At 41.8% G+C, this 26369-nt stretch overlaps 1 protein-coding gene and 1 long non-coding RNA gene across 9 annotated transcripts in view, besides 2 other annotated features; one reads left to right on the top strand and one right to left on the bottom strand.

Annotated features, from left to right (window-relative positions):
• LOC105371843 (uncharacterized) overlaps window positions 1-3244 on the top strand; it is a 31958-nt gene extending 28714 nt beyond the window's left edge. For both annotated transcript variants that reach the window (XR_007065866.1, XR_007065865.1), the window contains 2 exons: window positions 2972-3063; window positions 3154-3244. This is a non-coding gene — a long non-coding RNA (uncharacterized LOC105371843). The remainder of the gene's footprint in view (window positions 1-2971; window positions 3064-3153) is intronic.
• Window positions 1-26369, bottom strand: part of RAD51C (RAD51 paralog C) — a 43039-nt gene that overhangs the window by 8215 nt on the left and 8455 nt on the right. For 5 of the 7 annotated variants that reach the window (NR_103872.2, XM_006722004.4, XM_006722001.5 and 2 more), the window contains 4 exons: window positions 24068-24201; window positions 17407-17538; window positions 6585-6651; window positions 3297-3357 (listed from right to left, as the gene is read on the bottom strand). Coding sequence is in view for 6 of the 7 variants with exons in the window: in XM_006722004.4 (XP_006722067.1) it covers window positions 3297-3357; window positions 6585-6651; window positions 17407-17538; window positions 24068-24201 (394 nt within the window). In the remaining variant the exon portion in view is untranslated. Of the gene's footprint in view, window positions 1-3296; window positions 3358-6584; window positions 6652-17406; window positions 17539-21379; window positions 21520-24067; window positions 24202-26369 lie in introns of those variants that run through there. The other 2 variants (XM_006722002.5, XM_047436505.1) reach the window with 2 other exon arrangements.
• Window positions 20186-20235: an enhancer, noted in NCBI's record as "active region_12492". NCBI's record gives its function as "activates an Ori minimal core promoter by ATAC-STARR-seq in GM12878 lymphoblastoid cells {active_cell/tissue: GM12878}" and the evidence as "EXISTENCE:reporter gene assay evidence [ECO:0000049][PMID:35858748]".
• Window positions 23972-24172: a silencer, noted in NCBI's record as "peak2919 fragment used in MPRA reporter construct". NCBI's record gives its function as "represses an SCP1 promoter by STARR-seq MPRAs in K562 erythroleukemia cells {active_cell/tissue: K562}" and the evidence as "EXISTENCE:reporter gene assay evidence [ECO:0000049][PMID:32103011]".

Here is a 26369-nt window from a genome sequence, read left to right as displayed (position 1 = left end):
ATCCCAGCACTTTGAGAGGCTGAGGTGGGCAGGTCACCTGACATCAGGAGTTCAAGACCAGCCTGGCCAACATAGTGAAATCCCACCTCTACTAAAAATACAAAATTAGCAAGGTGTGGTGGCAGGCGCCTACAATCCCAGCTACTCGGCAGGCTGAGACAAGAGAATCACTTGACCCCAGGAAGTGGAGGTTGAAGTGAGCCAAGATCTCGCCATTGCACCCCAGCCTGGGCAAAAAGAGCGAAACTCCCTCTCAAAAAAAAAAAAAAGTTTATAAGGCCGGGTGCGGTGGCTCATGCCTGTAATCCCAGCACTTTGGGAGGCCGAGGCGGGTGGATCACGAGGTCAGAAGATCGAGACCATCCTGGCTAACACGGTGAAACCCCGTCTCTACTAAAAATACAAAAAATTAGCTGGGCGTGGTGGCAGGCGCCTGTAGTACCAGCTACTCGGGAGGCTGAGGCAGGAGAATGGCGTGAACCTGGGAGGCAGAGCTTGCAGTGAGCCGAGATCGCGCCACTGCACTCCAGCCTGGGCGACAGAGCGAGACTCCGTCTCAAAAAAAATAAAAAAGTTTATAAAGTCAGCTATAAAATGTAGATAATACTATTTTCAGTCTACAGCCATACCACCCTGAATGTGCCTGATCTCATCTGGTAACACTATTTCAAAGATTTACGTGGAAAATAACATGAAATTATATATATACACACACATATACATACGTATATGTATATACATCTATACGTATACGTATATACATCTATACGTATACACATATATACATACACGTATATACATATATACATCTATATGTATACACATATATACATATGTATATACATCTATACTTATACACATATATACATATGTATATACATCTATACGTATACACATATATACATATGTATATACATCTATACGTATACACATATATACATATGTATATACATCTATACGTATACACATATATACATATAATCTATATATATACACATATATACATACACGTATATATGTACACATATATACATACAGTGCTTTGCACAATAAAGGACAGTTAAGAAATATTCAATAAATAGTAGCTATTATTTACTACTTATTCAGTTAACCTTTCTGGGCCTTGGTTTTCTTTTAATAATAATAGGTATACATTCTGCAAATAATTATTGAAAAGATTATCTGAAATGTTATATTTAAAGTGCCTAGTAAAATACCTAGCACAAGCAAGCACTCACTAAAATGAGAGTATGAAAAATAAATAAAATAAAAATAAGAATTAAAAAAATGATCTTATGAGATGTAGAAAAAATATTATAGAACAGCAGATTTCCCCCAATCTATCTATATTCAGTGTTGGTGTTGTACATCATTTTCTTGTTTTTTTTTTTTTTTTTTGCAGGGGGTGGATGGAGTCTCACTCTGTAACCAGGCTGGAGGGCAGTGGCACAATCTTGGCTCACTGCAACCTCCGCCTCCTGGGTTCAAGTGATTCTCCTGCCTCAGCCTCCTGAGTAGCTGGGACTAAAGGTGTGTGCCATCACGCCCAGCTAATTTTTTATTTTTAGTAGAGATGGGGTTTCACCATGTTGGCCAGGATGGTCTTGATCTCTTGACCCCATGATCCACCTACCTCAGCCTCCCAAAGTGATGAGATTACAGGTGTGAGCCACTGCATCCGGCCATGTACTTTAGTTTCTAATTTCTTGGGAAGGATTTGTAAGAAGGTGAATTCATACAATGGTTAACTCATGGTAAGCGTGATTTTCTGATCTCTTGGATAACTTATCAATGCTAACTTCTAGAACTTGACAAAGAAGGCAAACTTTTCCTCCTGTTGAGTTCATAAAAAGATGAAATATCTTGCTCTGTTCCTATTATTTTTCTTCTTAAATGCATTTTATTAGTAAATATTTAATTATAGTCTGAAGAAGACTACTGTATACTAACTCAGGCGTAATTCCTATGAAAAAATAAATGACGGAATGTGCTTTACAGAATAACCTAAAACTGGGAAAGTATAAGCAATATGTTCAAAAGACAGCTGGAGAACTGTTGCCAAATCTTTACAATAAGGTTTGGTGCCGAGAAAATAACTCCTTTTGTGACTCTAGTATACAGCAACTTACTTACAAAACTAGGAGGAACTACCTTAAATTGTGATCATAGAAAAAAAATTAGGGGGAGGATTTACCAGTCATACTGGTTTAGAGTAAAAAATGTGTTTAAATTAGGGGGCGACAGTCAATAGTAAAGCACTACGTATTGTGGGGGAAAAAAAACACTACCTGAGCTCTTTGCAAATACCATTTTTAAAGAAGACCCAAACTGCACGATCAGTTGCAAAAGATATATACAGAAGTGTAATCATTCTGTTATGAGCTTCAGGTCCGTAAAACCTAACTTGGTCAGGCAGGATTTTTTTCAGTTTGTAGAACAACAAAGAAATATAGATTAAAAAATAGACATTTTCACTGGCTAGGCCCAATATGTATTTAAGTGACCTTTTATTCCATCTTTGCCCACATGCCATTTTAATTTCTCCCTTTATTAGAGCATTTCCAAACCAAGACCTCTAGGTTATACCAATTAATCACAAAGCGGAGAGGCTAGCATGAATCTGACATTTTCTAGAAGTGTAGAAAAGACTTCACAGCTTTCAATGGTCTATTTTCAAGAAAATAAAAGCTGGTTTGTTCACTTGCTCAGCAGCTTTAAAAACAAATACAAAGATTTCATGCTGCCATACTTTTAAAGAACAATACTTGTGAAATGCAGGTAAGTAACTGGATAATAAAAGCTGGACAGCAAAATACAAAATAAAAAAAAAAACAGACACAATTTCATACAAGAAATATACTAAGCAAATAAGAGAAACCATCGTATGTTCCAAATAAATTAATTTTAAAGGTAACCTCAACAATTTTCCTTTTGTCCTGATTTTATTCTTTTTTTTTTCAATCTCTTCCAGGAACACAGAGTACTCACCTCCTTCTACATGGCTAATAAATTATTTCGAAGAGCTTTAGAAAATGGCATTCCTTGGCCACCTACTCATTTCAGGTGCATGCGCCCCATCATTTAAATATTCCAGAGAATTTCCTATGTAGCTAAATATGCAGTAATAACAACACATTTCTATGTTTGCTCTAGGTGATATCAGACAAGGCAACAAAAGTGTCACTTCATGGGTCACTGTATATCTCATCCACAGGACTAGCTCTAAGAAACCTGTAAGTGTTCATTCAGTATAATTAACCCAATATTCGGAGTTATTAACTTGTTTCTGTACTGACCTTTGCTTTCGGTCCCAATGAAAGATTAGCCGTATTGTAGCAGCATGTCCCCAACTTTCCCCTGAGAGTAAAAAACATAATAACTGTATATGGCCTTACTGACTTGGTTATACATTTCTCAGAACGCCTCTGATCAAATATAATCTTACTTTATTAATTTAACATAACGAAAGTATACTTGCTTTCAAAAAACCTGGAAAATGAGTAATATCCTGAGATTACAAGGTTTTTACCTATCTAGGGAAATACTGCAAATCATTATTCTCTATTTGCTTTTAGAAAACTTTATTGTCTGAGTCCATATATGTGTCAATTTTCCATATCATCAAGCCTAACGTATTTCTGACCTCCAGAAGAAAAGTAAAAACTCTGGTAGAATATTCTTTTTTTTTTTTTGACATCAACAGAATATATAATTAAGTTGTGGCATATTCATGTCATCGAAATGAACTACAGTGTCACACATCAACATGGATGAATCAAAAAATAATAATGAGCAAAAGTTGTCAGTCATATACAGTATAATTCTATTTATATAAAGGCTAGAAATAAGCAACTATTAGGGATACACAGACAGTAAAATCTATAAAAGCTAGGTGACAATTACACAAAATTCAGGATAGTGGTTGCCTCTTGGGGGGAGAGCATACGAGGCTCCTGGGGGGTAGTAATGTTCCATTTGTCAGTCTGAGCAATGGGCACCTGGACATTTATTATTGTTCTTCTAAATATACATTTTCATTTGTATATTCTATTTCACATTAAAAAGAAAAAAGACCAAAAAAAAAAGCATTAAGTGTAACTCAAGATTTAAGCAATAGTGCTTGGGAGTATTATCATATCATGCAGACACAGTGCAAGGAAATGAAAAGGTGGATATAATTTGTGAGGTAGAGATGATGGGCTCAGGTTTGGACAAACTGAGTTCCTGAAACACAAGACTTTTATTATTAGTCATATTAGGTGTGAAACTGGCCTGAGATCACCAATTTGTTTTATGCTAGATTTGGAGGGCAAAGAGGGCAGTTGAACTCAGCAATTTATGTGTCCAGCACTGAAAATCTTCATGGTTAACAATTACTAATAGGTTATATGTTAGGTTACTTTTCAGTCCCACTCAGCTCAAAGGGTTTGTCATTACCCTACTGATTTGCAATTCTAAGTCTTCTGCCTGTTGCATTCTGATGATCCATTTCTACGCAAGACATATAATCTAAAGCTGAGACACAGCAATAGAAGACCAAAGAACAGACACAGCAACAAAGTTTGCATGAGGCAAATCAGGAGGGTAGGAATGAGATTTTGATGTGCATCCTGGCCAAATTCCAGAACTAGCAAAGAGAGCGCCAGTTCCTAATTCCAATCAAAGCAAATTCAGCCATCTTATTTTCATACAGAAGTGGTCTACGTTGATTTTTAAATCTCTTTAAGGGATTAGGGAGCCTCTGAAATATAAAGGAAACTAAACTGATAGTAATGTAAAATGAGCAGTGACCTATCATACTAGCAAACACTGTCAAAAACAGAAAGCTAATGGTGGGATTGGAGTCTAGAACACAGGAGTTATGTTTATCCAGTGCTGCACTACACAACAGGGCAGTCACTTGCCACATGTGCAATTTAAATTTAAGTAAAATTCAATTAAACATTCCATTCCACAGCTGCATTAGCCACATTTTAAATGCCTCAATAGCCACATGTAGCAAGGGCTACTGTACTGAAGAGCACAGACATAGAACACTTCTATCATAACTGACCATTCTATTGAACAATATCCTAGCAATATCCAAGGTAAAGGGCGTTCTGCTAGTAAACCAAGGAGGGCATCAGAATTATCACAACTTAAGCATAATATTCCTGAGGGCATCCATTTCCATTTATTTGCTTCTCTGCTTACCAACTCTGAACCCCTGCTTTCCCAACTTCCTGGTATCTGGGAAGAAAATAAACTGACTAGAAAACATAAACTTCATTCTGCTTGACAACTGTAATTCTCACTAAATTTATAAATTTGCTTTCTGATTTATCATAGTGTGCTGAGGGCATGAGTTTGAGAAAGGCTGAGTTTGATTACCCCTGAGTGGATCCAAACATTAGGAAGCTCTTGCTTAAGTGGGTGATAGAAAATGACAAAAACAGCTGGAAGAAACATGACAGACTATTACACTCCCTTCCCTAACCTTCCTCCTTTTCATCCTGCTCACCTGGGCCAGGTTAGAATCCGTCCTTTGTACAGTACCCTGTACTTTCTATTGTAACCTTTACTACATTATCTGTTTATAGAATGATCTATGCCATTAGTTGAAAACTAGTCAAGGGCAGATACATTTTTTTTTTTTTTGAGACAGAGTTTCACTCTTGTTGCCCAGGCTGGAGTGCAATGGCGCGACCGTGGCTTACTGCAACCTCTGCCCCCCAGGTTCAAGCGATTCTCCTGCCTCAGCCTCCCAAGTAGCTGGGATTACAGGAATGTGCCACCATGCTCATCTAATTTTGTATTTTTAATAGAGATGGGGTTTCTCCATGTTGGTCAGGCTGCTCTCAAACTCCCGACCTCAGGTGATCCACCCGCCTCAGCCTCCCAAAGTGCTGAGATTACAGGCATAAGCCACTGTACCTGGCCAAGACTCTGGTAGAATATTCTTTAAGATTTTAGTGGAAATAAATCTTGAAGCACTACATTCTAACAAAACCACGATATTCACTGTAGTGTGATTTGTATTTAAGTGGATTCACCTTTCCTTCTCCCTAACACTGTGAACTCCCTGGGGGCAAGAATCTTTGACACAACAGTTGCCAGACAGTAGATACGCAATTTTTTGAGAGAGTCTTACTCTGTCCCCCAGGCTGGAGTGCAGATGCACGATCCCAGCTCACTGCAGCCTGCGCCTCCCAAGTTCAAGCAATTCTCACTCCTCAGCCTCCCAAGTAGGTGGGATTACAAGTGTGTGCCACCATGCCTGGCTAATTTTTTGTATTTTTAGTAGAGATGGGGTTTCACCATATTGGCCAGGCTGGTCTTGAACTCCTGGCCTCAAGTGATCCGCCTCGGCCTCCCAAGGTGTTGGGATTACAGGTGTGGGACACTGTGTCTGGCCACTCAATAAATGTTAAATAACTAAAAGGAACAATCAGTATCTAACGGTACTGTGCTTAGTGCTAAGATTAACCAGTGAACAAGACAAATACAGTCTGCTTTCATGAAGCGTATAGTACTCAATGAGAATCAAATGAAAGAGATAAGAAAAACTGTGATAAACTAAAATGTTTATCTGATTAATTACCCACCTAATGCAGGAACAAGCAAGGCCTGATTTCTATCAATCTTTGTTGTCATCTGATTGGTTAAAATTACCTACAAAAACAAAATGTAAGAAAATTAGGTGAGTCTCTTTGAAAATTATCAAGTAGACCAGTCTGGCCAAGATTGTGAAACCCCATCTCTACTAAAAATACAAAAATTAACCAGACATGGTGGCATGCACCTGTAATCCCAGCTACTCCGGAGGCTGAGGCAGGAGAATCATTTGAACCTGGGGCAGGCAGAGGTTGCAGTGAGCCAAGAGCGTGCCACTTCACTCCAGCCTGGACAAAAGAGCAAAACTCTGTCTCACTAAATAAATAAATAAATAAATAATCAAGTAAACAGTCTTGTGATTTTATTTTTTATTTTATTTTTTTTTTTGAGACAGAGTCTCGCTCAGTCACCCAGGCTGGAGTGCAGTGGCACAATCTCTGCCCACAGCAAGCTCTGCCTCCTGGGTTCACACCATTCTCCTGCCTCAGCCTCCCAAGTAGCTGGGACTACAGGCGCCCACCACCACACCCAGCTAATTTTTTTGTATTTTTTCAGTAGAGACGGGGTTTCACCGTGTTAGTCAGGATGGTCGCGATCTCCTGACCTCGTGATCTGCCTGCCTTGGCCTCCCAAAGTGCTGGTATTACAGGTGTGAGCCACCGCGCCCAGCCTGTGATTTTAGTAATATGAAATTAATCTACCTATTATAGCCAGCCATTTAAGTAATACAAATTTTTCTGATAAAAAATTTTAAATCCCAGCACTTTGGGAGGCCAAGACGGGCGAATCACGAGGTCAGGAGATCGAGACCATCCTGGCTAACAGGGTGAGCGGATCACGAGGTCAGGAGATCGAGACCATCCTGGCTAACACGGTGAAACCCTGTCTCTACTAAAAATATAAAAAATCAGCTGGGCGTGGTGGCGGGCGCCTGTAGTCCCAGTTGCTCAGGAGGCTGAGACAGGAGAATGGCGTGAACCCGGGGAGCAGAGCCTGCAGTGAGCTGAGATAGCGCTACTGCACTCCAGCCTGGGCAACAGAGTGAGACTCCATCTCAAAAAAAAAAAAAAAAATTAAAAATCCACCCATAAAAAGATGTAGTTACCTGAAAATATGATTCTACTGATCATAAAGTATTTTATTTTCATACTTTAGAGATGGGGTCTTGCTATGTTGCCCAGGTGGTCCTTGAAGTCCTAGACTCACATGATCCTCCCACCTCAGCCTCTTGAACAGCTGGGACTAGAGGTGTTTGCCACATCTAGCTCATAAAACTTTTTTTTTAAGAGACAGGGTCTTGCTATGTTGCCCAGGCTGATCTTGAACTCCTGGGCTCACACAATCCTCCTGCCTCAGCCTCCCAAAATGCTGGGATTACAGGCATAAGCCACTGTACCTGACCTACAAAAAACTTTTTAAAAAATTAGCTGGGCATGGTGGTGCACAACTGTAGTCCCAGCTACTCAGGAGGCTGAGGCAGGAGAATTGGTTGAGCCCAGGAGGTTGAAGCAGCAGTGAGCCATGATTCTGTCACCGTACCCCAGCCTGATGACCAAGCAAGACCTTGTCTCAAAAAAGAAAGACTGAGTCTCGCTCTGTTGCCCAGGCTGGAGTGCAATGGCGCGATCTCGGCTCACTGCAATCTCCGCCTCCCGGGTTCAAGCTATTCTCCTGCCTCAGCCTCCCAAGTAGCTAGGATTACAGGTGCCTGCCACCATGCCTGGCTAATTTTTTGCATTTTTAGTAAAGATGGGGTTTTACCATGTTGGCCGGCCTGGTCTCGAACTCCTGACCTCAAGTGATCCACCCACCTCGGCCTCCCAAAGGGCCGGGATTATAAGCATGTGTCACTGTGCCTGGCCTGAGTCCATGTTCTTTATCACTATTGCCTCCCTAGAATATTTTTATTGAAAGGAATATGAAATCCTTAACAAATACCTCAATGTTTATACTTTTAAGAAGGAAGCAAATATAGTATTACTGTTTATAATTTTATAGGAAAAAAAGAAACTGAGGCAACAAATTATGAGAAGAGACTTAAAACTCATAAAGAAGGTACAATATAAGTAGATGAACTAGGAAAAAAAAAATCCTAGTAGTCAGGTCAAATGACTCCAAATTATGATTATGCTACTCAGCTATTAACAGCCACAGGTGTTGCTTTGCAACTCACAGATGGCCCTCAAGGTTTCATATTGCTAATTCTCTTTGTATAAATACTGACCTACAAAAAAGGTTCCAGGTTTTGAAAGACAGTAATTTTAAATAAAGCAGGGAAAACAAAAGCGTTTAAGGCTGACTTAACACAGAAGTCAGATCTGTTATCTTTCCATCCCCAAATCTCCAGAAATGGTTACTTTATATACTCTTCTAATACATATCTTCCCTCCAGAAAAAAAGAGTTAATATTGCAAACTAAAACTGATAATGAAATTCCATGAAAAGCAGTAAGAAAAAGGTGTCTACTCTGAAAATGAGTTTTTTATGTAAGAAAACCGAGAAACAGCCCAGGCGCGGTGGCTCATGCCTATAATCCCAGCACTTTGGGAGGCCGAGGCAGGTAGATCACCTGAGGTCAGGAGTTCGAGACCAGCCAGGCCAACATGGCGATACCCCATCTCTACCAAAATTACAAAAAATTAGCCGAACGTTGGGGCGGGCACCTGTAACCCCAGCTACTCGGGAGGCTGAGACAGGAGAATCACTGAAATCCAGGAGGCAGAGGTTGCAGTGAGCCAATATTGCACCATTGCGCTCCAGCCTGGGCAACAGGAGCAAGACTCCAACTCAAAAAAAAAGAAAAAGAAAACTGCGAAAGAAAAAAGGTTGTTTGGCTGTTCCCACTGCAGTGGTAACACCCTAAAATTTCTGTTTCACCGCAAAGGAGAAATCTGTGATCCATCTAGATCTCAATTAGATACCAAGTGGATGACATGATTTTCTTCTAGCTCCCCTCCCCTTACATGCCACAGGGCATTCTCCATTTGTTACCTCTCATCGGGCACCTTAGAAAAAGCTAAGCAGGAATTTAAATTGGCAGCTTTTCTTTCTTTTTCTTTTTTTCTTTGAGACAAGGTCTCACTCTGTTGCTCAGGCTGGAGTGCAATGGCATGATCTTGGCTCACTGCAACCTCCGCCTCCTGAGTTCAAGCGATTCCCCTGCCTCAGCCTCATGAGTAGCTGGGATTACAGGTGTGAGCTACCATGCCTGGTTAAGCTTGTATTTTTGGTAAAGACGGGGTTTCTCCATGTTGGTCAGGCTGGTCTCGAACTCCTGACCTCAGGTGATCTCCACCTCGGCCTCCCAAAGTGCTAGGATTACAGGCATGAGCCACCACACCCGGCCGGCAGCTTTTCTTAAGAATAGTTTTTAGAAATGGGGTCTCACTCTGTCACCCAGGCTGGGGGGCAATGACACAATCATAGCTTACTGCAGCCTTGAAGTTGTGGACTCAAACAATCTTCCTGCCTTAGCTTCCCCAGTAGCTAGAACTATAGTTCAAGCACAAGTTCTACTAGCTAGAACTATAGGCATGCCTAACTAATTTTTAAATTATTTGTAGAAACAGGGTTTTGCTATGTTGCCCAGATTAACTTCGAACTCCTGGCCTCAAGTGATCCTCCCACCTTGGCCTCCCAAAGTGCTGGGATTATAGGCATGAGCCACTGTGCCTGGCCCAGGTGTAGCTTTTAAAAGTTAAATTAGCCAGGTGCGGTGGCTCACGACTGTAATCCCAGCACTTTGGGAGGCCGAGGCGGGCGGATCACGAGGTCAGAGCGAGACCATCCTGGGTAACACGGTGAAACCCCGTCTCTACTAAAAATACACAAAAAATTAGCCGGGCGTGGTGGTGTGTGCCTGTAGTCCCAGCTACTCAGGAGGCTGAGGCAGGAGAATGGTGTGAACCCAGGAGGCAGAGGCAGGAGAATGGTGAACCCGGGAGGCAGAGCTTGCAGTGAGCCAAGATCGCGCCACTGCACTCCAGCCTGGGTGACAGAGCGAGACTCCGTCTTAAAAAAAAAAAAAAAAGTTACATTAGAAGCCAGGCGTGGTGGCTTGTGCCGGTAATCCCAGTACTTTGGGAGGCAGAGGTGGGAGGATCACAAGGTCAGGATATCAAAGCCATCCTGGCTAACATGGTGAAACCCTGTCTCGACTAAAAATACAAAAAAATAGCTGGGCATGGTGGCATGCGCCTGTAGTCCCAGCTACTAGGGAGGCTGAGGGAGGAGAATGGCGTGAACCCGGGAGGAGGAGGTTGCAGTGAGCCAAGATCGCGCCACTGCACTCCAGCCTGGGCGACAGAGTGAGACTCCATCTCAAAAAAAATAAATAAAAAAGTTAAATTAAAATCATAAATTCAGTAGCTCAGTAGTATTAGCTATATTTCAAGTGCTGAACAGTCATGCAGCTACTGTACTAGACTGTACATTTTCATCTTTCCATCAGATCTACTGGACAGTGCTGGTTTAGAGAGAGTACTTAGTTTACGCACTACGTATCTTTAGGAAAATATAAATCAAACTACTGATTTACCAGGTATTCAACATGCCAAAATTAGAATTTCCATTATTAGCAAATATTTATATAGCAATTATATTACTTTTGCAAAACGATTGGCCTCCATGATACAACTGAAAATTAGTATGTGATTATGCCAAGCTTCTAAAGAATAAGTGCTTTTTTTTTTTTTTTTCGAGACAGAGTCTTGCTCTGTTGCTCAGGCTGGAGTGCAGTGGCATGACCTCGGCTCACTGCAACCTCTGCCTCCTGGGTTCAAGAGAGTTTCCTGCCTCAGCCTCCCAAGTAGCTAGGATTACAGGTGTCCCCCACCACGCTTGGCTAAATTTTGTATTTTTAGTAAAGACAGAGTTTCACCATGTTGGCCAGGCTGGTCTCGAACTCCTGACCTCAGGTGATCCACCCAGCTTGGCCTCCCAAAGTGCTGGGATTACAGGCGTGAGCCACCATGCCAGGTCAAAAGTTTAAAACAGTAAAGTAACAATCACTTGAAATTATGAACTTCAGAGCTTTAAAAATATTTCTGCCATGCAATGTCCTTCAACCAATGAACAGATAAACAAAATGTGATATATCCATAAAATGCAAAATTAGTCATTAAAAAGATACTGATGGGTGCTAAAATACAGATAAACCTTGAAAACATCACGCTAAGTGAAAGAAGTCAGACATAAAAGGCCATATACTGTATGATCTGCTTATATAAAATGTCCAGAAAAGACAAATTCACAGAAACAGAAAGCATACTAGTGGTTGTGAGGGACTGGGGGAGGGTAGAATAGAGAATGACAGCTAATGAAAAGGGTTTTTTTTTTTTTTTTTTTTTGAGACAGAGTTTCGCTCTTGTTGCCCAGGCTGGAGTGCAATGGCGCGGTCCTGGCTTGCTGCAACCTCCGCCTCCTGGGTTCAAGCAATTCTCCTGCCTCAGCCTCCTGAGTAGCTGGGATTACAGGCACCTGCCACCACAACTGGCTAATTTTTTTGTATTTTTAGTAGAGATGGGGTTTCACCATGTTGGCCAGGCTGGTTGTGAACTCCTGACCTCAGGTGATCCACCCACCTTGGCCTCCCAAAGTGCTGGAATTACAGGGGTGAGCTATTGCACCCAGCTGAAAAGAGGTTTTTTGTTTTTTTTTGTTTTTTTTTTTTTAATAATCTGGAACTGTGTGTTTCCCAGAACCAGAATTACTTTCTCCATAGGGTACAAAGTTATAGTTGACCGCAAGAAAAATTTGCATGAGATTTGAAACGTGACACTGAAGGAGCAGACATTTTAAATATTCTGAAATTCACTGTGAGGTTGGGGTTTCTTTTTTAGGATGACGGAAATATTCTAAAATTATACAGTGGTGATGTTTGCAAAACTCTGTGGATACACTGAAAATCACTGAATTGTGCACACTGCAAGGATGAATCATATATGTCATTAAGGCTGTTTAAAAAATTATGCCAATAATCCAAAAAACATATTTTTAAAGGACTTTCTCCATATCAATTTGGCAAAGATTTAAAAGACTGGTACCTAGCTGGGCGTGGTGGCTCACGCGTATAATCCCAGCACTTTGGGAGGCTGAGGCGGGTGGATCACGAGGTCAGGAGATCGAGACCATCCTGGCTAACACAGTGAAACCCATCTCTACTAAAAATATAAAAAATTAGCCGGGCATGGTGGCACGCGCCTGTAGTTCCAGCTACTCGGGAGGCTGAGGCAGGAGAATCTCTTGAACCCAGGAGGCACAGGTTGCAGTGAGCCAAGATCGCGCCATGGCACTCCAACCTGGGCGACAGAGCGAGACTCCGTCTCAAAGATATAAATAAATAAATAAAAGACTGGTACCCAAAGTTGGTAAAGATATGGGAAAACAAGAGTTCCCATTCATTGCTGTAGAGACATACTTTGGAGCATAGTTTCTGAGGGTAATTTTATAACATAAAACAAAATGTTCAAAAATCGATTCCTTTGGCTTAATATTTTCACTTTAAGAAATTTATTCTAGACTAGCTGTGGTGGCTCACACCTGTAATCCCAGCACTTTGGGAGGCCGAGGAGGGTCGATCACTTGAGGTCAGGAGTTTGAGACCAGCCTGGCCAACATGGTGAAACCCCATCTCTACTAAAAATACAAAAATTAGCCAGGTGTGGTGGTGCACGCCTGTAATCCCAGCTATTCGGGAGACTGTGGAATGAGAAGCTCTGGAACCTGGGAGGTGGAGGCTGCAGTGAGCCAAGAGTGTGACACTGTACTCCAACCTGGGTGAGAGAGGAAGACTCTATCTAAAACAGAAAAAAAAAAAAGAGAGAGACCATCAATAAGGAGGTGGTTAAAAAAACTACGCTACAGGGTGGGCACAGTGGCTCATGCCTATGGAAGGCTGAAGCAGATGGATCCCTTAAGCCCAGGAGTTCAAGAACAGCCTAGGCAACATAGTGAGACCTCATCTCTACAAAAAACTTATTTATTTATTTATTTTGGAGCTAGAGTCTCACTGTGTCTCCCAGGCTGGAGTGCAACAGTGTGATCTTGGCTCACTGCAACCTCCACCTCCCGAGTTCAAGTGATTCTCCTGCCTCAGCCTCCCAAGTAGCTAGGACTACAGGTGAGCACCAACACACCTGGCTAATTTTTGTATTATTAGTAGAGACAAGGTTTCACCATGTTGGCAAGGCTGGTCTTGAACTCCTGACCTCAAGTGATCTGCTTGCCCTGGCCTCCCACAGTGGTGGGTTATAGGTGTGAGCCACCGTGCCCAGCCTCTACAAAAAATTTAAAAATTGGCTGGGTGTGGTGGTGTGTGCCTGTGGTCTCAGTTACTCAAGAGGCTGAGGTGAAAGGATTGCTTAAGCCCAGGAGATTGAGGCTACAGTGAACCAAGATCATGCCACTGCACTCTAGCCTGGATGACAGAGCGAGACCCTGTCTCATAAAAAAGAAAACCCAAAAACAAATACAAATACAAAAAAAACCTATGCTACAGTCATACAGCAAAATACTATGCAGCTGTTAGTGTAAAGCAGACTTATAAGTAGTGTACATGGAAAAAAAAAGTAGTATACATGGAAAGATGTTCACAATATATTAAGTGAAAAACAGAAAACTGCTTTGCATAATAGCATGTATAATATGACCTCATTTTCATTTCTTTTTGTGTTTTTGAAGACAGGGTCTTGCTCTGCTGCCTAGGCTGGAGTGCAGTGGTGCGATCTCAGCTCACTGCAACCTTTGCCTCCCAGCCTCAAGCAATACTCCCACCTCAGCCGCTTAAGTAGCTAGAACTATAGGTGCATGCCACTATGCTTGGCTAAGATTTTTTTAAAAATTTGTAGCGATGAAGTCTCACTATATTTCCCAGGCTGGTCTCAAACTCATGGGCTCAAGTGATCCTCCCACCTTGGCCTCCCAAAGTGCTGGGATTACAGGCGTGAGCCACTGCGGTGGCATGACCTCATTTTCTTTTTTTTTTGAGACGGAGTCTTGCTCTGTCGCCCAGGCTGGAGTGCAGTGGCGTATCTCAGCTCACTGCAAGCTCCGCCTCCCGGGTTCATGCCATTCTCCTGCCTCAGCCTCCCGAGTAGCTGAAATTACAGGCGCCCGCCATCAAGCCTAGCTACTTTTTTGTATTTTTAGTAGAGATGGGGTTTCACCGTGTTAGCCAGGATGGTCTCGATCTCCTGACCTCGTGATCTGCCCGCCTTGGCCTCCCAAAGTGCTGGGATTACAGGCGTGAGCCACCACACCTGGCCTATGACCTCATTTTCTAAAACGTAAGTTTGTATATGCATGAAGTCTGCAAAAATATTTACACCAGACAACAATATTTACACAATCTCTGAGTAATGAATAATCGCTTCCTACATTTTTTATTGTTTAGAACTTTTTTTTTCTTTTACAAAAAGCATACATAACTTAAAATTTCTTTTTTTTTTTTTTTTTTTTTGAGATGGAGTGTTGCTCTCTCGCCCAGGATGGAGTGCAGTGGCGCAATCTTGGCTCACTGCAACCTCCGCCTTCTGGGTTCAAATGATTCCCCTGCCTCAGCCTCCTGAGTAGCTGGGATTACAGGCATGCCACCACGCCTGACTATTTTTTGTATTTTTAGTAGAGATGGGGTTTCACCATGTTGGTCAGGCTGGTCTCGAACTCCTGACCTCATGATCCGCCCACCTCAGTCTCCCAAAGTGCTGGCATTACAGATGTGAGCCGCCGTGCCCGGCCAATTATTCTTATTTTATGTATTTTTTTTTTTAGAGATGGGGTCAAGCTTTGTTGTTCAGGCTGGTCTCAAACTCCTGGCTTCAGGCGGTCCTCCCACTTTGGCCTTCCAAAAGTGCTGGGATTACAGGTGTGAGTTACCACATCTGGCCTTAAAATTATAAAATACATTATCAAAAGCCATACATGTTATATATATGTTAATTGGGAAAAAAAACCTTCAAGCAAAGAAATTATAAAGTAAGAGAGGGAAAGTGTGTCCCTAACCCTACAAAATCCCATCCTTTGAAGAAGCCAAGTCTGGGCACAGTGGCTTATGCATGTAATCCTAGTACTTTAGGAGGCTGAGGCCGGCAGATGATCGCTTGAGCCCAACCTCCGCCTTCTGACCAGCTGGGCAACATGGTGAAACCCCATCTCTACAAAAAAAAAAATACAAAAATTAGCCGGGCATGGTGGCATGTGCCTCTAGTCTCAGCTACTAGGGAGGCTGAGGTGGCAGGATCACTTGAGCCCGAGATGTCGAGGCTGTGGCGAGCCCTGATTGTACCACTGCACTTCAGTAAGATTCTGTCTCCAAAAAAATAAAAAAGAAGTAGCCACTGTTAATGTTTTGGTCCTTTCAGATCTTTCTCTTCATATATACAAATATAAATGCATACATATAATTATAAGTTTTCTCTAAACTGAGGTAACATTAAATATATTTTATATACAACTTAAATTTCTTCACTCAATAACATATATGTATATATCTTCTTCCATGTTAGGACGTTTATATTTACATCACTCTTCTTAAACACTACCTACTATTTGATGTTATTGTTTGGATTGCTTTTTTAGTCGGAAAAGGTGAAGCTATTTCTGTTAAAAACATAAGGAACTATGCAACCTATTAGTCTTGAGTGCCCCCTACTGGAGGCTCTTCACTGATATTAACAAAAGGCTAAATTACAATTAATTTAAGCAAAAAGTAATTCAAACACAGGGCACTATGCTTTTCAGCATATGGCAAAAAAAATTGGAAATTCAAAGAAAAAAGTATGCTTTAAAATGACTTTACTGAGGAAGTTCTTTATTTACTTATGATGTATTACAGGTATGTGCTAAGGTCTCTCTAATTAAGGTAAAGACAAAGAAATCAAGTTAAGCAGTTTGACCTTACATCTTACTCCCAGACAAATGTGTGTATTTGTGTCAGTGGTGGGATGTGGATTCAGGGTGGGAAGTAATGGCAAACAAGCAGTTAAAGAGGAGTGAGGTAAAACTTTAAAAAAAAAAATCTCTTCCCTTCTGAGCCGATATTTACTTCTCTCCTCACATTTCAAATCTTCAAGAGTTATTTAGCTCTACCTCAAAGCATCTAGGTTGTTTACACCGGTTATGTTTCAATCCATCTGAATCTGTGATTACATACCACATAATAATCAAAGACTCAAAGGAGAAGAAAACCAGGGATGTTGGAAGAGTTAACCTGAAAAACATCCAAAGTATATTTAAACAAAGAAGACACTGCAATTAACAAAGGTGGCATTTCTTTATCAAACAAAGTCCTTTTTTTTTTTTTTTGCCTTGAGACGGAGTCTTGCTGCTGCCCAGGCTGGAGTGTGATGGCGCGTTCTCCACCCACTGTAACCTCCGCCTCCTGGGTTCAAGTGATTCTCCTACCTCAGCCTCCCGAGTAGGTGGGATTACAGGGGCATGCCACCACACCGGGCTAATTTTTGGTTTTTTTTTTTTTTTTTTTTTTTTAGTAGAGACAGGGTTTCACCATGTTGGCGAGGGTGGTCTCAAACTCCTGACCTCATGATCCACCTGCCTCGGCCTCCCAAAGTGCTGGGATTACAGGCACGAGCTACCGCGCTCAACCACAAAGTCCATTAATTATGCTTGTTATTTTCCAGGAAAACTGACACTTATGACCAGAATTTTTTAATGGAAACCAACCAAACGTAACTTTACTCAAAACTGCATGTCTATATTATTTGTCAGGCAAACGCTATTTTGACATTTCTAGACATTAACATTTTATACAGTCTTGACTTTGTTATAAAACTCTCTTCACTAGTTAATACTTACAGCTAATCTGTGATTATTTGCAAGGCTGATCATTTGCTGGGCTAGGCCATTTAATAACCGAGTACGAAGAGACAGGTCATCTAGGTCATGACGAAATGGAAAAGCAATACCATCCACTATCACTAGTCGAACCTAAATACAGAAGAGATAATATTAGATTTGTTACGAAAAATAAAATAATAATAATAAAAATGCTCTCTCTCTCCAAGAGAGCAGGGACCTTCTCTCTTATTTACTATATTCTTCTGTCTTATTTACTATATCATCCCCAATGCCTGGAACAGTAAATAGCATATAGGAAAGGAGGTGTCAATTAATACTTGCTAAATGAAGAAACAAATACTCTAAATAAAACAACTTACTTAGACATTGCTTCATAAAAGCCTCTTCTTTAATCCAACCCTTACTAGATAGAAAAAAACATAGCATTGGAAAAACCATAGTCCATTACAGGAAAAAACCTTAAAACCCAGGGCTTTATTTCCAACTGTCTAAAGTATGGCTTTCTTTTGGAAAGTTACAAAGCTGTTCAGCCAGTGCTTTCTGCAATAATCACTAAAAGTTAAAACGGACTCTGCTTTGATAATTTCTCAACTTTAAAAAAGTAATTCAAAGGCTGGGCGCGGTGGCTCACACCTGTAATCCCAGCACTTTGGGAGGCCGAGGCAGGTGGATCACGAGGTCAGGAGTTCAAGACCAGCCTGGCCAAGATGGTGAAACCCCATCTCTGCTAAAACTACAAAAATTAGCCAGGCACAGTGGCAGGCACCTGTAATCCCAGGTACTCAGGAGGCTGAGGCAGGAGAATCTCTTGAACCCTGGTGGCAGAGGTTGCGCCACTGTACTCCAGCCTGGGCGACAGAGTGAGACTTTGTCTCAAAAAAAAAAAAAAAAAAAAGTAATTCAAAAAGAAAAAGGAATAATTATAATTTTCTTTAACTTGCCACTGTACACAGTCTTTACTGATAAAAAGCACATTTAAAGTCTTTGTAAAACATTCTGAAAAGGCTTAAAGAAAAAGTCTTGGTAAAACAACACATTTGTCAATTAAATATACCAATTTTACCTTCCGGGTTCTTTTTATGTTTCCTAAAACAAAAAACAAAAAACAAAAAAACCTTCAGGCTGGGCGCGGTGGCTCACATCTGTAATCCCAGCACTTTGGGAGGCCGAAGCAGGTGGATCACGAGGTCAGGAGTTTGAGACCAGCCTGGCCAACGTGGTGAAACCCTGCCATGCACTCCAGCCTGGGGGACAGAGCAAAACCCTTTCAAAAGAAAGCCCCCCCCAAAGCAAAAAATAAACAGTGAAGTTAGAAAAATAAACCAATATATAAACCTTAAGATCCCCAAATCAAAAAGAATCTGGAAACTAACCCAAATGTAAACAAACAAAAGACTCCAATGCTATGTTTTTTTCTATCTAGTAAGGGTTGGATTAAACAAGAGGCTTTTATGAAGCAATGCCTAAGTAAGTTGTTTTATTTAGAGTATTTGTTTCTTCATTTAGCAAGTATTAATTGACACCTCCTTTCCTATATGCTATTTACTGTTCCAGGCATTGGGGATGATATAGTAAATAAGAGAGAAGAATATAGTAAATAAGAGAGAAGGTCCCTGCTCTCTTGGAGGTTATGTTTTAGTGGAGTAAGGGACCATTAATATGCAAACAAACACACAAATAAGGTAATTTCCGATAATTATAAGAAAATGAAACTGGTTGAAGTGATGAAGAACAGGTGAACACTAATAAAAAGCACAAAAATGCAAAAAAAAGTGGCATTATAAAGACTGTGAAAAGGACACTTGTTTACAGTAGAGAGCTGAAATAAAAAGGCAGAACATGACCTTGTTCAACGTCAGCTGGGAATATGTGCACAGGTTGATTCGATTTTTCATGACTCCACACATGACCACTGCTGTGTCCCCCCAATATTCGTAAATTGAAGCCCTATCTCCCAGTGTGACTGTATTTGGAGAGAGGGCCTCTAAGGTAGTAATTAACGTAAAATTAGGTCATGAGAATGACATCCTGATTTGAGAGGATTAGTGTCCTTGAAGAAAAGACACCAAAGAGCTCACTCTTCCTCCTTCCTCCCCATGAGGACACAGCAAGAAGGTGGCCATCTACATGCCAGGGAGAGAGCTCTCACCAGAGACCAATCAGCCAGAACCTTATCTTGAGCTTCTAGTCTCCAGAACTGTAAGAAAATAAAATTTCTGTTGTTCAAGCCACTCAGACTATAGTATTTTTGTTATGGCAGCCTGAGGTGACCACAACAAATTTTAGTATCAAGAAATGAGGTATGGTGGGTTAGGTAGTGAGAGAAGCAAGGTACTACTATAACAAATACCTAAAATGTGGAAGTGATTTTCAAATTGGGTAATAAGCAAAGGCTGGAACAGTTTTGAGGCACATACTGAAAATATGGACATTAAGGGCAATTCTGGTGAGGCTTTTTTTTTTTTTCAGATGGAGTCTCGCTCTGTTGCCCAGGCTGGAGTGCAGTGGTGCGTTCTTGGCTCACTGCAACCTCCACCTCCCTGGTTCAAGCAATTCTCCCGCCTCAGACTCCCTAGTAGCTGGGATTAACAGGCACACGCCACCACACCCAGCTAATTTTTTTGTATTTTTAGTAGAGACGGGGTTTCACCATGTTGGCCAGACTGGTCTTGAACTCCTGACCTCAGGCAATCCGCCCACCTCAGCCTCCCAAAGTGCTGGGATTACAGGTGTGAGCCACCATGCCCGGCTATTCTGGTGAGGATTTATACAGAAATGAGGAACAAGTTACTGGAAACTGAAGGAAAGCTGGTGCTTAGTATAAAGTGGCAAAGAACTTGGCTGTGTTCTAGTATTTTATGGAAGGTAAAACTTGTGAGAAATGAAATTGGCTATTTATCTCAGGAGATTTCTAAGCAAAGTGTAGAGGAAGTGGCTTGGTTTCTCCTAGACCACTTATAGTAAAAATGAAAGAGGAGACAGATGAATTGAAGAAGGAATTGTTCAGCAAGAAGGAACCAGAACTTAGAGATGTAGAAAATTCTCAGCCTATCCATATTGCTAAAAATAAGAAAGCTTGCTCTAGAGAGAAGACCAAAGGTACGGTTGAACAATGACTCTATAAATAGATTATCCATGATGTTAATCAGCCATCTCAGCAGAAGCCAGTGATAGATAAGGGATTATAACAGCAGAAACACTGCTAGTTTGAAGTAAAGAGGACAGAGTAAGTGGGAAAGAATGAACGAAGGCTGTTGGACTTCCTTGATTCCACAAGAGAAAACCATGAGCTACTTGACTGTGAATGTGCCCTATTCCTCAAGAAAAGGAAAGAATGGTGCCAAAGGGGATCACAGATCCTCAGAGCTGTCACTCTTACCATAAGCCCAGGGGGCAATGCTATGTCGTCCTTGGTTTCAGAGGGTGGGGCCCTTGCAGAGAGAGGAAGGGGCAGGGCCACCCCACAGAGCAGTAGGGTGATTCTGCTACTGCAGTGGGCCTGGAAGGCAGAGCATCAAAGCAAAGGATCATTCTTTTTTTAATTATTATTATTTTTTTGAGATGGAGTCTCACTCTGTCACTCAGGCTGGAGTGCAGTGGCATGATCTCATGTCACTGCAATCTCCTCTGCCTCCTGCGTTGAAGTGATTCTTCTGCCTCAGCCTCCCTAGTAGCTGGGACTACAGGCACGCACCACCATGCCCGGCTAATTTTTGTATTTTTAGTAGAGACAGGGTTTCACCATATTGGCCAGGGTGGTCTCAAACTCCTGACTTCGTGATCTGCCTGCCTCAGCCTCCCAAAGTGCTGGGATTACAGGCATGAGCCACCGTGCCTGGCCAGCAAAGGATTATTCTTGAGCCTTATGGTCCAATGAAATTTGCCTTGCTAGGCACCCATAATCCTTTTGGGAATGTTCATCCTATGCATTTCCTACTATTGTATTTTGAAAGCATATAACTTGCCTGATTTCAAACGTTCACAGCTGGAAGGGAATTTCACTTCAGGATGAATTATAACTTGAGTCTCACCAATCTCTGATTTAGATAATATTTAGATGAAGCCTGGGACTTTTAGAGTTGATGATGGAACCGGTTAAGACGTTTGGGGCTGTGTGGATGGAATGGATACAAGAAAAACATGAATTTGGCGGGCAGGTAGGGGGTAGGGGGGCAAGGGGCCAGGGGCAAACTTCTGGGAACTCAATTATGTCCCCTTAAAATTCGTATGTTGAATCCCTAAACCCCAATGTGAATGTATGTGGAGAAAGGACTTCTAAGGAAGTAATCAAATAAGTTCATAAAGATGGGACCCTAATCTAAGATGATTAGCGTCCTTGTAAGAAGAAATATTAGGGGTCAGGCACGGTGGCTCACGCCTGTAATCCCAGCACTTTGGGAGGCCGAGGTGGGCGGATCACAAGATCAGGAGATCGAGAACATCTTGGCCAACATGGGGAAACCCTGTCTCTACTAAAAATACAAAAATTAGCCAGGCGTGGTGGCATGCGCCTGTAGTCCCAGCTACTCTGGAGGCTGAGGCAGGAGAATCGCTTGAATCCGGGAGGTGGAGGTTGTAGTGAGCTGAGATCACGCCATTGCACTCCAGCCTGGGTGACAAAAGCGAAACTCCACCCCCCCCCCAAAAAAAAGAAAAAACACCAGGGAATTCACTCTCTCCTTCTTTTCCTCCCTATCATATGAGGACACAGAGAAAAGATGGCTGTCTGCAAGCCAGGAAGAAAGCCCTTGCCAGAAACTGAATCAGCTAGAACTTTGATCTTGAACTTTTAGGCTCCAGAACTCTAAGAAAATTAATTTCTATTGTATTTATTTATTTAATTTTTATTTATTAATTTTGAGACAGAGTCTCTCTGTCTCCCAGGCTGGAGTGCAGTGTCACGATCTCAGCACACTGCAACCTCTGCTTCCCAGGTTCAAGCGATTCTCCTGTCTCAGCCTCCCAAGTAGCTGGGATCACAGGTGCATGCCAACACACCAGGCTAATTTTTGTATTTTTAGGTAGAGACGGGGTTTTGCCATGTTAGTCAGACTGGGCGACTCAAAAAAAAAATTAATTAATTAATTAAAATAAATAAAATAACAAAGAGATGGCATTTTCCATGCAGAATCTTGGCAAAAATATTCAAAAGGTCAGGATGATGGGTAATAGGCATTCTCATATATTGTCAGTAAGAGTAGAAATTGGTGCAGTCTTTCTGAAGGGCGATATGTGTTCAAGAAAAAATTATTCTAACACTTCTTAAAACAGTAAGGAGACTGTATTCAAGACTATTCTAATAGGGGTATCACAATAGGGGAGAGAGACTGGGTTCAAATCAGAATACAAGGACAACTGGGGATTCACAACCAAGAGCAAGGTGAAGGGGTCAGTGGATGAACAATTACTAACAGTGAGACATCAAGGGTAGGGAAATTCTTGCTAAACTGACCGAACAGGATTCTTACTAATGGCAGGCCAGCCAGGTGAGCAGCCTGGCCAACATGCAAAACCCTGTTTCTACCAAAAATATAAAAAAAAAAAAAAATTAGCCAGGCGTTGTGGCGCATGCCTGTAGTCCCAGCTACTTGGGAGGCTGAGGCAGGAGAATTGCCTTAACCCGGGAAGCAGAGGTTGCAGTGAACCAAGATCACGCCAATGCACTCCAGCCTGGGCGACAGAGCCAGACTCCATCAAATTAAAAAATAAAAAATAAATAAATAAAGGCAAGCCAAGGATTTAAATATCAAAGGTGGGGAATGAGGAACGTGATCAGGTATCAAAGGTGCTCAGACTATCAAATGTGAGAGAATCTCTCTGAACTGACAGCAGGATTCTTTGCTAAGACTGGACTGGGTAGGCCAAAGACAGGATGGGGCCAAGTTCAGTCAAGGAGAATCTTTGTCACTGATAATGTTTACCAAAATTAAAGGGCCAGGCACAGTGGCTCATGCCTATAATCCCAGCACTCTGGGAGGCTGAGGTGGGAGAATCGCTTAACCCCAGGAGTTGACTCCATTTCTACCCAAAAAAAAAAAAAAAAAAAAAAAAAAAGGTGATACATGATGGCACGGTAGCTCAATGTAGCCTTGAACTGCTGGGCTCAAGCAATCCTCCCACCTCAGGCCTGCTCCACCCAGCCCTTGGTAGCTGAGACTACAGCTACACCACACACGGCTAATTTTTTTTTTGGTGGGGACAATGTCTTACTATGTTGCCCAGGCTGGTTTTGAACTACTGGGCTCAAATGATCCTCCCACCATGGCCTCCCTAAGTGCTGGGATTACAAGTATGAGCCACTGCACCTGGCCAATAGTGATCACCTTTGGGGAGAGGCACTAGAAAACAGTAGCACAAGGAAGTTTTTATTTTTCATTTCATACCTTTCTATACAATGTGGTTTGATAGGAGCTATTCCACTATTACTGGAAATGAAACTTCTATATTATTTCAATTTCTTACTCTGAGCATAAACTATATATACATATACATACACAAAACAAATATAAATATAAATAAATTGTAGGTCAAGGAAGGAAGAGATTTTCTCAATTGGCTTTGACTTTGATTTTATGCTACTGTACTGGTTATTTTTTCATGCTTATCAAACACCTCAAAAAATACTTGGTTAGTTACATTTCAGTAGTCTGACTCATACCTTTGAGTGTTCTGAAAGGAAATCTGGAAGAAGATAAACTTGTGCCAGTAACTCTGTGTAGTCACGACAGCGAAAATAATAAATATGAGAAAGAATATTATCAAGAGTGAAATCCTCCAAAGCTTTTCGGTGTTCTGAAACAACAAAACACTCTTAATTAGTTTTACCTGTTTGGATGTATTGGCAATTGTAGAAAAACAATGCTTTTTAATAACAAAATGTTCTCCTTTGGATAACAAAATTCTTTAACTGAAAGATGACAAATTATAGCAAAATTACTATAAACAGTTCATAATTCCTGATCTTTTAATTAAAGTTCTAGGGTACATGTGCACAACGTGCAGGTTACATATGTATACATGTGCCATTTTGGTGTGCTGTACCCATTAACTCGTCATTTATATTAGGTATATCTCCTAATGCTATCCGTCGCCGCCCCCCACCTGATGTCTCTCTTAATCTGTTTAGAGATAAGGTCTCACTCTGACGCCCAGGCTGGAGCACAGTGGCACAATCATAGCTCGCTGCAACCTCGAATTCCTAGGCTCAAGGGATCCTCCTGCCCCAGCCTCCCAAAGCACTGGGATTACAGGCATAAACCACTGTGCCCAGCCACTTGATTTTTTTTTTTTTTTTTTAGATAAAGTCTCACTCTGTCACCCAGGCTGGAGTGCAGTGATGCGATCTTGGCACACTGCAACCTCTGCCTCCTGGGCTCAAGCGACTGTCCTGCCTCAGCCTCTTGAGTAGCTGGGATTACAGTCACTCGCCACCATGCCCAGCTAATTTTTGTATTTTTAGTAGAGACGGGGTTTCACCTTGTTGGCCAGGCCGGTCTTGAACTCCTGACCTCAAGTGATCTGCTCACCTCAGCTTCCCAAATTCACGCCTGGGATTACAGGCATGAACCACCACACCCGACCTGATCTATTATTTTCACATTTTTCCACTGTTTCCTTACATATTAGGCTATGTAAAATTATTTATAAACATATACAACTAGTGTTTTAATGCCTGCCTTTTCATATTTCTAGTCACTGGCTTCATTGAACAGAAGTAACATAATGGAAGTTTCTCTTTCTTGCTTTTTTCTATAGGACTACAAATTAAGAGTTAACGGCAGCCTGGGCAACATGGAAAACCCCATCTCTGCAAAAAATACAGAAATTAGTCAGGTGTGATGGTGTGCAACTCTGGTCGTAGCTACTCAGGAGGTTAAGGTGAGAGGATTGCTTGAGCCTGGGAGGTCAAGGCTGCAGTAAGCAATGATAGCGGCACTGTACTCCAACCTGGGTGACAGAATGAAAACTCTGTCTCAAAAAAAAAAACAAAAAAATAAAACACAGTTAGAAAAAATGTTCAAATGAAGCATTTTTTCTCTTGAATGCTATAGTATAATTTGATATTTAACTGGCAACAATTATATAAAATCTTTCTTAGATTGGATGTTTAAAACAAACAGTTTGAGGCTGGGCGTGGTGGCTCACACTTGTAATCACAGCACTTTGGGAAGCTGGGTGGATCACTAGGTCAGGAGTTCAAGACCAGCCTGGCCAACATGGTAAAACACATCTCGACTAAAAATATAAAGATTAGCTTGGTGTGGTGGTGCATGCCTGTAATCCCAGGTACTCGGGAGGCTGAGGCAGGAGACTGGCTTGAACCCGGGAGACGGAGGTTGTAGTGAGCTGAGATCCCGCCACTGCACTCCAGCCTGGGCGACAGAGCAAGACTCTGTCTCAGAAAAAAAAAAAAGTTTGATTTTGCACATATTTCAGAGAGAAACCAATCAGTTACTGCATTTTTTCTTTTTCATTTTTTTGAGACGGAGTCTTGCTCTGTCCTCCAGGCTGGAGTGCAGTGCCGTGATCTCAGCTCACTGCAAGCTCTGCCTCCTGGGTTCATGCCATTCTCCTGCCTCAGCCTCCCCAGCAGCCGGGACTACAGGCGCCCGCCACCATGCCAGGCTAATTTTTTGTATTTTTAGTAGAGACGGGGTTTCACCATGTTAGCAAGGATGGTCTCGATCTCCTGACCTCGTGATCTGCCTGCCTCTGCCTCCCGAAGTGCTGGGATTACAGGCAGTGAGTCACCACACCCGGCCAGTTACTGCATTTTAAAATGCACTTAGCCAGGCGTGGTGGCTCACGCCTGTAATTCTAACACTTTAGGAGGCCAAGGCACGCAGATCTCTTGAGCCCGTGAGTTCAAGACCAGCCTGGGCAACATGGTGAAACTCCGTCTCTACAAAAAATGCAAAAAAAATTAGCTGGGCATGGTAGTGCCCACCTGTAGCCCCAGC

This window comes from Homo sapiens, chromosome 17, assembly GCF_000001405.40.
Source record: "Homo sapiens chromosome 17, GRCh38.p14 Primary Assembly".
Lineage (NCBI taxonomy): Eukaryota > Metazoa > Chordata > Mammalia > Primates > Hominidae > Homo > Homo sapiens.
Note: the sequence above shows the minus strand (reverse complement) of the source record. Positions and strands in the feature narration are given on the sequence as shown.